This window comes from Homo sapiens, chromosome 12, assembly GCF_000001405.40.
Source record: "Homo sapiens chromosome 12, GRCh38.p14 Primary Assembly".
NCBI classification, from domain to species: Eukaryota; Metazoa; Chordata; class Mammalia; order Primates; family Hominidae; genus Homo; species Homo sapiens.
In genome coordinates, this window is record NC_000012.12 from 2,446,022 (window position 1) to 2,458,608 (window position 12,587).

General features: G+C 51.1%; 1 protein-coding gene across 56 annotated transcripts in view; it reads left to right on the forward strand.

Moving 5' to 3' along the window:
* CACNA1C (calcium voltage-gated channel subunit alpha1 C) overlaps nt 1–12,587 on the forward strand; it is a 727,171-nt gene that overhangs the window by 475,242 nt on the left and 239,342 nt on the right. For all 56 annotated transcript variants that reach the window (XM_017019926.3, XM_017019934.3, XM_017019946.3 and 53 more), the window contains 2 exons: nt 2,955–3,094; nt 11,546–11,685. In XM_017019926.3, the coding sequence (XP_016875415.1) occupies nt 2,955–3,094; nt 11,546–11,685 (280 nt within the window). The remainder of the gene's footprint in view (nt 1–2,954; nt 3,095–11,545; nt 11,686–12,587) is intronic.

Here is a 12,587-nt window from a genome sequence, read left to right on the forward strand (position 1 = left end):
GTGGATGGATGGGTGGGTAAGTGGGTGGATGGTGGGTGAGTGGATGAGTAGATGGATGATCAGATAGAAGAATGAGTGAGTGGGTGAACGAATGAATGGGTAGATGGATAGATGGATGGATAAATGTATAGGTAGGTAGGTGGATGGATGGATGGATGGATATATGTAGGTGGGTGGGTGGATGGATGGATGGATGGATGGATGGATGGATGGGTAGGTGGGTGGATAGATGGATAGCTGAATAAATGGATAGGTGGGTGGATGGATGGATGGGTGAGTGGGTGGATGTATAGATGGGTGGTTGGATGGTGGGTGGGTATATATATGTATGTATGTGTGTGGGTGGGTGGATGGATGGATGGATGGATGGGTGGATGGATAGGTGGGTGGGTGGATGGATGAGTGGGTGGTTGGATGGATAGAAGAATGGGTGAGTGGGTGGGTGGGTGGGTGGACTGACGGATGGGTGCGTCAGTGGGTGGATGGATGGATGGATGGACAGGTAGGTGAATGGGTAGATGAATGGATGAGTGGGTGGTGCATAGGTGGGTGAATGGATGGATGGATGAATGGGTGGGTGGCTGGCTGGATAGGTGGTGAGTGGGTGGGTAGGTGGATAGATGAATGGATGGGTGATGGGTAGAAAGATAGATGAATGGATGGGTGAATGGGTGGATAGATGGATTGATGGGTGGATGGACAGGTGGGTGAATGGATGGATGAATGGATGAGTAGTGAGTGGGTGGGTGGGTGAATGGATGAATGGATGGGTGAGTGCATGAAAAGATGGATGAATAGATGGGTGAATGGGTACATGGATGGATGAATGGATGAATTGGTGGGTGGGTGGATGGATGGATGGGTGGGCAGGTGATGGTGAATGGAAGTGTGAAAGCAACTAGCACATATGAAAGCACCTGACACCTAATGGATACCCAACTTGTGTGTTTCCCTTTCCTGTGCTTTCTTTCCCATCTCAGCTTCACCTTTCTGGGAATATAGAAAGAGGTGACCCTGTCATCTAGTGGCAGACATGAAAGCTCTGAACCATCATGGGTTGGGGATAAGGAGATGGGCTAAGGGGCTGTGTGACAGCTCCACTATTCCCACTCCCACAAACATCCTCAGGTTCCCCTGTGCTGTGTTGTCTCATGTTTTCTTCTTCAACATTGCCCTGATGTACATTTTAACCCAACATCACCTGACTTTAAAAGATTGGAGCTTCCCACGTCCTGTGATTTGTTTGTGGTTCACAACCCCAAGGCAGCTGCCTCCCTAAACCAATTTTATGGCACAAAAATGGGCAGGAAGGGAAGGACGAATCTGCCTCTGAGATGCTGATGAAATCTGACCCCTGCACTCCTTTCCCACGCCGCGGCGTGATCTGGGCCTTCATCCACACGTGAGCTGGTGGTTCTTCCGGGTACCTCAGAAACACCTGGAAATTGTCTACGATGCACATTTCCAAGCTTCATAGCCAGATGATCTGTTTCAGTAGGTCTGGGTAGGGCCCAGAATTCTACAGTTTTTAATTTTGCATCCTCAAACTGCTTCACAGTGAGGCTGGCACTCCCTACATGCCCAGGGGATTGTGATGGAATGAATGGGAGCCCAGGGTACTGATATGGCCTGATGGCTCCCTGCAGAGCTTCCCATCTGGCCCTGCTCCCGATGGCCCTGCCTTGGAGGAACCTTCCAGCTGGCTAGGCAGGAGGAGGTGGGCCTTTGTGGGCAACATCCCTCCTCCAGAATGTGGGTGAGCCTGGAACACCCCCTCACCACTGCTCCCACATGCACACACCAGAGCTCCCTCTGACTCGCAGAGGAGGGGAAAATGGGTCTAGGGGTTCTGAGCCGAGTGCCCACTTGGGGCTGTGGACAGGCCCGCCGCACTCTGGAGGGCCTATGCCCGAATGCAATGTGGATGGGTGTTTCGTGGCTCCAGTGAGGGATGGCTGAGGCTTCTGCAGAGGCGAGCAGTGGAGCATGAAGGCATCCAGGCAGCCTTTGCCTGGTGGGGGCCATTAAGGCTCTGCACTTGGGATGGGGGTGTGGGAGAAAGCAATTAGTGGCGAGGGACGTGCATGAATCAGCACAGAGTCGGCTGGCTCTAATTGAGCCAACAAGTTTGTCCTGTTCGCTCTGGGCTCCCAGGGATGGGAGCTGCATCCTTAAATGCAAAGCCCTTCTTCAAGGTGGCAGGGGAGGAAGAAGATTGTCTTCTGCCCCTTGAGGAAAGAGAGGGGCTCTTTCCATTCTCCACTCCCACCCAGTGCCTGCCTCCATCCGCAAAGTGCTGATTTTCTCTGCTGAAATGTTCGACGTCTTTGGACAGAAGGTTTTATTTTCTCAAGAAAGAGATTTCACATTTCTGGATCGGTGTATGTGAGCAGGTTGCCTCTGTCTGGGCTGCTCTTAAGGGATCTTCACCGTCTCCATTTCTTTGTGGCTGCATTTTTGCTCTGTCTTTTGGAGGAACTCGGCTAGTACCCTCCCCAAGACCAAGTCTGCTGTCTTCAGGGCTTGTTCCTGCAGAATCGGAGCGCGGTTTTCCAGGAGCTGTGCTTTATCCCCTTCTCTTTTGGCCCTGACATTGTTTCCCTTTAGATGGAGACACTATGAATTCTCTTCTGGGAGAGCACAATAAAATGTCAACTGATTAACTAAATAAAATGTTTCAAAAAATATGAAATTTTTCCACTAGTCTAATATTTACATGTTCATGGGGGAACTTTGATGCAGAAAAAAAAAAATCCTGTAATCCCCAGTAGCTTGGTGCTGTCGCGGTAGAGCAGGTCGTGGAGTTGCTAATTTGGCCTGGGTGTCCCCACTTGGTTCCACCACAGAGGGGGCAGCATTATCTTCCACCTACTTGTGAGATCTACTGGTTCCAAACTTTCCAAATCCCCAAACCAATGACTTATTTTTCTCTCTTTTCTATTTCTGTTTCCTAGGAACGAGTGGAATATCTCTTTCTCATAATTTTTACGGTGGAAGCGTTTTTAAAAGTAATCGCCTATGGACTCCTCTTTCACCCCAATGCCTACCTCCGCAACGGCTGGAACCTACTAGATTTTATAATTGTGGTTGTGGGGTAAGTATCACTGTCTGTTTCTTTCCCTTTATCTTACCAGTGTTGCGGGACTTTTCCTTAAGTCAGCTGAAGACAGGGTCGTTGTCAGACGGCCACAAAGATTTAGGCTCGCAGATGATCTAGAGTGAGAAAAATGAGATTTATTTTGCTAAAAGGAACAGAAAGGGAAAGAGAGACTCAGCAAAGTGAGAGAGTGCGCTTCCTGCCCATGGGCTTCCCGCCTCGCAGGTTGAATCCAAGGTTCTACCCAGGAAAAGGAGGGGTCAGGCTTCTCCCTGCTGCAGTTGGTGGCGTGAACTTCCGTGGTTCCACCCTAGTGTGCACTCCTCCCAGTGCGCAGGCTGGCTGGAGTTTCTCTGGGGACCCCTCCCCACCTGGCTGTCTCACCAGTACATCCCTCTTCTTCCTTCTGTGTTATCTCTTTTCAATTTGGTCCTAACTATGCTGGGCTTCAGGCAAGAAGAAAGGATCTGTGAAAATCACTTTGAATTCAGACTTCCCCAGAGGGACAGGGGCTATGACCCAAGAGCACCCCTCTCCACCACTCCCACACAGCATGCACACACGGTTGGACCTGAGTGCTCCTGATGGAACCCAGGCTGCTCTGTGCTGCTGTAGGATATCCCCCTGCTTAAGGACTTTCGTTTCATCTCAGACCACATCTGGCCCCGCAGTTCCTCTGATAGTTTCCCTGCTGTATCACTGAGCACATTTGGGGCAGCTCGTCCGTGAGCATGCAGTCTGCAGGTGTGGGGTGAGGGTGGGGCGCACACAGGCTGTGCCTGTGCTCTGGACTTGTACAGAGGCCTCTTCCCCATTCTCACTCTACAGGGGGCCTGGTTCTGTGGCCCCAGAAAACCAGACTGCTCAAGACAGGTGGATGAGAAGGAAACAGGGAACTATGAAAGGCGAAGATGACAGGTAACCAAACCCCAATCAAATGCAGCTTCCCCCAGACACCCTGCTCCACTGTAGCATAAGATAAGGTAGAGTCAGTCTAGGCTTTCAAAACAGCAATGCAAAGAATCTTAAATAAAATGTAGAAGAGATCTCCTTATAAATAAGTTATTAACCTCACAAAAAGAATCTCCATAAAATATTTGTACCTAACAGGCCTACCTACACTGGTGAAGTGTAAGTTATTAAAATGCAGGTGAGGTCAGGCGCGGTGGCTCACACCTGTAATCCCAGCACTTTGGGAGGCCAAGGCGGGCGGATCACGAGGTCAGGAGATCGAGACCATCCTGGCTAACACGGTGAAACCCCGTCTCTACTAAAAATACAAAAACTTAGCCGGGCGAGGTGGCGGGCGCCTGTAGTCCCAGCTACTCGGGAGGCTGAGGCAGGAGAATGGCGTGAACCCGGGAGGCGGAGCTTACAGTGAGCCGAGATCATGCCACTGCACTCCAGCCTGGGCAACAGAGCGAGACTCCATCTCAAAAAAAAAAAAAAAAAAAAAAAAACGCAGGTGATGAAGTTCCATCAACACATCTGTCTTGTAATAGGAGGGAGCCCATTGCAGCAGATTTTACCTTGAGAAGAAGCCGGTTCCTTTGGGCTAATCCCTTGTTACTCTGAGCCCAGTGAGTGCTCAAGTGGCTGCCACCTTGGACTCTCCCTCTCTTGAAGTCCTGGCAGTCTGCAGAGTCAAGGTCAGAATGTCAGGAGCTCTTTATCCCAGAGGCCTATTTTTGGAGGATCCTTTTGTGCCATCCCGGAGGAGACACAGCCATTGTGGACGTCTCCAGAGCACCCGCCGTTCACCATCTTGTGAGAGTGCCTGGTCTTTACTGCAGGAAATGACGCAGGAGGACGTCGAGATCATTTGCAAGTTATTTCCTTGTCTCTGGCCATCTGGATGGCTCATAAGGTTGCTTGGAACCACGTTAGGGTTTTTGTTGTTGTTGTTGTTGCCTTATTTTGCCTGGCCAATGAATGACGCACTTTGGCCACATGAACCTCAGGAATATTTGGGTGATACGAGGTGCACTAAGGTTATTAGCATCATTAGCCAGGTCTAGCTCTGGCTCATAGCACTCGGGGTGTGCATGCAGCTATAGGAGAGATTTTGCTGCTTCTGCTCATGCCAGAATAAACAAAGAGTGGCTAAACGCATGCCTTGAATGACTCAGTAAACCATAGCAAAAGTCCTTAAGGTGGGTTGTTCCAAATGCCCCTAAATCCTTTTTAGAATTTGGCATCTTTCTCAAGGCCTCAGTCTCCTGGGAGTCTTTTGCACATGCATAGAAAAGAGCCTTGGGAATGATGAGAGCAGATGCTTCTGGGACCAGTGGAGGGATGAGGGTGACTTGCAGGGACGAATTTTGTTTAGGCAAAATTTTGGAATTTTGAAGTGAGTTGGAGTTGATTATATGTGCTTTGCCCCATATGTGGTCTTAATGAAATCATGAGTCGGGGGAGCAGAGACAAGAAATACAGGGTGAGTAGGCACCGAACAGGAGCCCTGGGAGGGAGGGGCCCTGCCTGGGTTGACAGGGAGGCAGTGCAGTGGTGCATCTCTGGCCCACACCTGGTGCCTCACCTGCGGTCTGTCTGGACCCGCTTCATCCCTTAGACTCCTCCACACAACCACAAGGGGCCAGGCTTTTTCTGGGGTCAGCCCAGATTCCAGTCACATCTCCCTAGGGCCTAGGCCATGAGGCTGGTGAAGAGAGGGAGGCATCCAGTTGTGTGCTCCTGTTTCTAAGCCACAGAGGTTAAGATGCCAGCAGTTGCCCAGCTCGTGGTTGGTCTTGCACTGGGACATATTTGGCACCTAGTCTCTCTTCTCCTAAGGGCTCTTCATCCTGTCTAAATCAGCCCATTCTTGTAACAATCCCCCATCGCTGCAGGGTGCAGCTTACCACCTCTCTTCAGCTCATCTCCTTTTTCTGCTTCCTTTGCAATATTAAATGGGTAGCCCTTTGCTTCCCTGTGTCTCTTGGAAAATATCTGCTATCCTTGGCCCCTCTTCTGTAGCTGTAGGGGAAGGTTTCTCCTGGCCTCCCACAAAGCTGGGGGAGCCTAACTCACCCTAGAGAAAGGTGGACCTGCCTGCCTACTGCCTGAGTGCCAGGCTGAGAGCCTCATCTCTGCATTGCTATTCTGGTGGCACAAGACACGTGGCATTTCTTTCCTTCCTAAAGCAGAGGCCTCTTGGTGGTGGGATTGCTGAATAAACACAGAGGGACTGTGGCGGCCTCAGATCCACGTGCCCCTACCGAGGGACCGTGGAATCCTCAGTGGATCCTCAGGAGGTTCCACGCCAGCCAGTGAGGCTTTGTTGCATCCCTACCTCCCTAGCAGGGTGGAGGCCCTGCCTTTCCCATTCTCTGGGCCTCACGATCATTCCACAGCCTCACGGTCCTTTTCTTCTAAAAGCTCCACTGCCGGACTACAGATCTGCCAGACACAGCTCCCAGAGCAGTCCTTCGGCCAGGCGTCCACACCAGAGCCCAACCCTCAGGGACCAGTGGGCACCAAGCAGTGGTTTTGCCTTTAGAATGTCTCATTGAGGAGAAATACACCAGCCACTCCTACACCCATGTTTGAATTTTCTACCCTTTCAGAATTAAAAGCGGATACTTAATAAAGAGTCTCAACTTGAGGCAGGAGTTAAAGGCAAGTTGTCTAATCTCCACTCCCTTCACCGAATAGTATTTTGTGAACCTCTTTTACTCCGATCAGCATATTACTTTCCTGCAGGAAATACTGGGAACAAAATCTGGTTTGCATTTGGAATGTTGTTTGACAAATTTGCAAACTGGTCTCCATTTCCTCAGGTTTCAGTGATCTAGGCTTCAGTGGAAAGAACATTTCCCTTGTGGAGAAAGAAGCCCACTCCCCCATCCTGGCAACTTCTGCCTGGGATTCAAGGCCTCACCAGCTAACATAGGAAGCCATCAAGTTGCCAGGCTGAGAGACACTGCAGATACGGCCTGGACAGGGTTCTCAAACTTCGTTCGGCTGCAGAACCCACTGTTGAGAGTCTCGCTCAGAGGTCCAAGACACAGACCAGATAGAAGGGAAGCTCCTCTGGACTAGAGGAGCCAGAACGCCAGTCACGCAGCCAGTCTGTGCCTGGGGGCCTCCATGGAGCGTTTCTAGACCAATCCCCTCATCGCTCAGCCCTGCCTGGCCCTGAACTTCTGCTAATGCATCTGGCTAATCCCCCAGCTGCAGCTTCCCATTTCTAGATCCAGATACCTGGGGCATAAGTCACTTAAGAGCTCAAGCCTATTGCTCCTGAATGAAAGCTGTCCTGGTTCATAGTTTAGATCTGATATGGAGACCCACTCCTAATACCTGGGCTCCCTCCTTGATCCCACGCCCCTCTGTTGAAGAAACACGACCCAGCGTGTAGTGCACTCTGTGGCAATGAATCTGTAGCATCCTCTCTGGGTATAAAGGACAGAAATCACCCTGCACGCCCTTTTCCCTATTTTTCTTGGTTGCCACGAAAAGCCCAAAATTATTGAGTCATCCCTCATCACCCGGACTCCTGTTCCCATGGGGCTTTGTGCATCCTCTGATCTAATCCCTCCTTTCTCACCACCCCGCTGCAGAAACCTTCCCACTGTGCCCTCCCATCCCCATAGTCCCTCGCCTGTTCAGGGTCAGCCAACTTTTCTGTAAGGGCCGGATGCTGGTTTTCATCTTTGCAAGCCATGCAGTCTCTGTTCCAGCTACTCCACCCTGCCCAGCAGCAGGACAAGAGTGGCATCTCCATGAGTGGGTGTAACTGAATTCCAACAAAACTTTGCAAAACAGGTGGCCCAGTTCTCAGCTTCCTTTCTGGTCACTTCCTGATTCTCCCTGAGGGTGCAGCTTTCTCTGCTGTCTCTCAGCAGGCAGCCACTTCCTCTCCCAGAAGCCTCCTTCCACTGCACCAGGTTGCCAGGTCTAAGGGGGCCCTGCCAGCTCCTGATTTCTGCTCCACTGCACCCCCACCTCCCTGGAGCCCTCCAGTTTTGACATTTGTGTCATCAGATCCTCTATGCCTTACTTCTCTTTACTGCAGCCTTCTGCAGACCTTTGAGTCACCCCTCCTTGTGCCTTGAGGACAAGGGCTCTTGGTTCGCTCTACTTCACTCCGACACTCACTTCTCCACCTTCCTGCAGTAGCTTCTTGGTTCTTGGATATCTGGCTTCTGGGGAACCTATCTCAGTAGTCCCAATCCCATGGCTATAGCCAATATCCCTGTCACCACTGATTAACACCTCCCCCATAATCCCAAATCTAACATCCTACCCTCTAACCAGCACCACCGTCTTTCCGGTCCCCTCCCTCTCTCACCCTGACTCCCACGATCCCTTCGTCCCACCGCACTCTTCATCCCTGCCACCATGTCCACCCTCCTTCCAGCCAGCTCAGACGCCATGTGCCACTGCTGCCCTCACTCACTTGCATTTATGCTCAGCATTCTTAGTCTTCTGTCTGTTTATCTTGCACACCTGGAAAAACACCAACCCTAATCAAGTCCAACCAGAGATCTGCTTGGTACCTGGAAAGGGTCAAGAAATCTGCAAAGTTGAGCAGACTCTCACTTTACACTCATGACCTCCAACCTCAAGGAGGCCCTCGGTGACACCTGAGGGCCCTCCTGCTTTGTCCGCACTCCATTCACCCTTCTGCTTTCTGAGCTAATTCTTTCAGCACCCGTGCCTCTCTCGTCACACTTCCCGTCTCCTTCCCCTTTCACGTTTTCAGCTGATGGCCTCGTTCCCCAGTTCCCTTAGAAAGATGCAATCAGAAGAAACTTTCATGTATTCCCACAACCACGCGTCTATGCTGACAATGCGCCTTCTCACTGAACCACGACCCACGGCGCTGCCCCTGCACAGGTGGACGCCCTTCGCATGCACCCATCCCCTTCTTGCCAGTGAAGGAGCTCCGTCCCACACGGCCCTGCCCCTGCACGGGTGGCACCCTTTCTGTGCACCCATCCCCTTCTTGCCAGTGAAGGAGCTCCGTCCTTCCAGCAATGGTTCCCTCTCGCTTCTATGTCATCACATTTTCTGCCTCTGTTAGATGATTCCCATCACATAGAAAACTGCTGTCATATCTCCCATTCAGAAACAAAACCCTCTTGACTCCACGCCCACTTCTAGTAACCCCCTTTTTTTCTCTGCTCATTTAGAGCAAAATTTCCCAAAAGACTTGTCTATACGGTAGCCACACGTGGCCATTCAGCACTTGAAATGTGGCTAATCTGCATTGCAATAATAATAATTATAAGTATAAAACATACAGCATATTTCAAAGATTTAGTACAAAACAAGGAATGACAAATGTCTCATGAATGATTTTTTATATTTATTACATGTTGAGATGATAATATTTTGGCTATGTCGGGTGAAATAAAATCTATGATCACTGTTAATTTCACCTGTTTTTACTTTTTAATGTGGCTCCTAGCAAAGGTAAATTACACATGCAGCCCACACTTGTGGCTTGCATCAGATTTCTGTTGGCCAGGGCTGTCTATCCTCACGGCCTCCCACTCCTCCCATGCTCTCTTGAACCTATGTCTGCTGGGTGTTTGTCCACATCACTCCACCAACACAGATGCCTTCAAGGTCTGGATGGTCTTGGTGTTGCTAAACCCAGCGGTCGGTGTCCAGCCATGTCTCTGCAGCACGTGACACCACCGCCTGTTCACTGACCGCTCTCTTCATGGGGCGCCGTTCTCTCCATGTCCCTGCTCTGCAAGCCATCCCTCATCAGTCTGTTTTGTTGCTTTCTCCTCTCTTGACCCCTCAATGTGGGAGCACTGCAGGGTTGAGTGCTTTCACATCCTCACCTTCTGCACTGGCCTCCTAGGTAGTCACATACAATTTGACTTTAAATATGAACTATACAACTGCTGCGCTTTTGTCTCCAGCTTGGACCTCCCCACTGACCTCCAGACACAGTAGAACCAACTCAAGACATGCATTCGATGTCCAAGCAACAACTCAAACTTCAAGAAGTTCTCAGCAGAACGCTTAATGTCCATTCCGCCATATCTCATCATTCCTGTTGCTCATGCCCAAACTGTTGGAATCTTCTCTGATTCCCCTCTCTTTCTCACACCTCACATCTAGTCCATCAGCCAGTCCCACTAACTTTATCTTAAGGTAAATCTGGTATCTAACTTTTCCTCACTACCTCTAACACCACCACTTGTTCTGAGCCACCCAGTGTCTCGCGCCTGGATGACTGCCGCAGCTGGTCTCTGGCCTCGCCCCCGACAGGGGAGTCTCCCACAACAGCAGAATGATTCTTTTAGACCTGTAGTTAGATCATGTCACTCTCCTGCTCAAAGTCCCCCAATGGCTTCTGTCTCAGAGAGGATACCAGCACCCGGTGGGGTTCCCTATTTCCTCTCCGACTTCCTCTCCCACAGTTCTCCCCTTTCCCTGCCCTGCTCCAGCCACACTGGTCGCTGCTGTTCCTCTAACGCACACCCTGCCCCTCCCTTGGGCCCCTGGCTTACCTGCTTCCTCTGCCTGGAACAGTCTCCAGATAGTGAAGTGGGTCCCGCCCTCACTTCCCATAGGCCTCTGCTCAAGTGTCACCTGCAGGGAGTTCTTTGTGCAGATTTCTCAGGTGGGAAGGAAGGCGGCCCTCACCCTGTCTCTGCAGAGCCCCTCCCCGCTCCTCCTCCTCAGCACTCATCACTCTAAGCTGCAGTGTCTGTTTACTGATTGCTCAGTTTATTGTCTGTCTCCCTGCTAGAATGCAAGTTCCATGAGGGGAAGGGCTTTGTCCATTTTGCTATAGCCCCAGTGTCTGGAACAGTGCCCGGCACACCGCAGGTGTTCTTGTTTGTTGGAGGAGTGAATATGCCAGCTCAGACCTAAAGTGGCAGGGCTGAAAGCCCTGTGTCTCAGTTACGTGCACGTGTGGTTCTACCCCACTTGAGACCTTCTTGTTTAACCACTCAACCATTCATTCATTTGCGCAGCACGCACCTCCTGAGCAGCCACCAAGGCCAGCACAAAGGAGATTTCCATGGGCCAGGAACAAGTCAAAGAGGGGGGGTATCTAGAAGGAAGGAGGTGGGGAAACAGAGCACATGGTTGCTGGCACACCTGGGAGGGGCGCTAGGATACCATGGAGAAGCCGGAGGGCTCCTCAAGGAGATAAGGACTGGCAACAGACTTCACCTGCTTCCCACGTTTGTCCAGCGCTTGTCCAGCTCCTGCCTTTATGACGGCAGAGGGCCTGCCCCTCAGCTCGCTCAGGCCTCCCTGGGCCATGGTGGCACCCTGGGCATGGCCACCACCCACACTGAGGGGATGTCAGCTTACAACCACCCACAGACTCCACGCACACCCACAACGCCCGCCCCTGGGCTGGAGACGCCTGCGCAATCTGCTTTTCCGGGCTGTATCCAGAGGTCAGAGCCCCAGCTGGGCAAAAGAAAACCCAGTCCTGACAGTCCTTCTCTCTTTCCTCTCTTCTAGGCTTTTTAGTGCAATTTTAGAACAAGCAACCAAAGCAGATGGGGCAAACGCTCTCGGAGGGAAAGGGGCCGGATTTGATGTGAAGGCGCTGAGGGCCTTCCGCGTGCTGCGCCCCCTGCGGCTGGTGTCCGGAGTCCCAAGTAAGTGAAGCCCGTTCTTGTGTACAGTGTTATCTCCTCACCACCTTCTGCTGTCCTTTGCTGAATTGCCAAGAACACTCTGCAAAGGGACCTGATTCCATATAAATGGAGGGGTTTTTGTTTTTGTTTTAAAATGAGTTCCTTTGATCTGAAGAGCCCAACTCGGATGTAAGTGCCTTAAAACACACTGTGGTCCCAGCGCCTGGAAACTCCTGGAGAAAGTTCACAGCAGTCACTCAGCCACATGAATCCTACATAAAGGAAGTGGCCATCTGAGCCACCCTGGAGGCCCTGGGATGGGGATTTAAATACATTTTGTAGCAGAAGAGCCAGGTGGCTAATCTCCGAGGCTCCAGAGCACTTTAGCCAATGAGATTATCTCTACTTTCTGTGTTTTTCCAAAGAACAATCAGGAAAGCATCAGTGGATGTTCTAAAAGTTCTGTTTTGACCTTTCTCCCAGCCCTCTCCTCCCTTCCTGTCAAATGGGGCAGCCCAGGCCTCAGGAGCCCTACTGGAAATACCACGCCTGTCATTGTGAGAACTTATTTTTCCCAAAGAGAGGAGGATATTCCGCTCTCTGAATCAGGGGAAGGGTTTGGAGAGGTATTGCCTATCCGGATGTCAGTCACATGGACAATGCCTCTTCTGCCACTTCTCCAGAAGCCTGGCCCATTATGGGTGCACCCCAGGTACTGAACACAGTGGCTTCAGGCCCCCTGGGAAGGCGCAAGCAAACCCCAGCCCAAGGTGCTCCTGGGAGCTCAGTCCACTTTAGAACTCCTTTCTACTCTTCCCTCTTCAGTTTGTGGTATCTGAGAACAATTCTGGACTCATTTGCTTAAATTTTGCTTTCAGTTCAGCTCCAGTAGATTTGGCCCATGACTCAAGACATAGGAGACC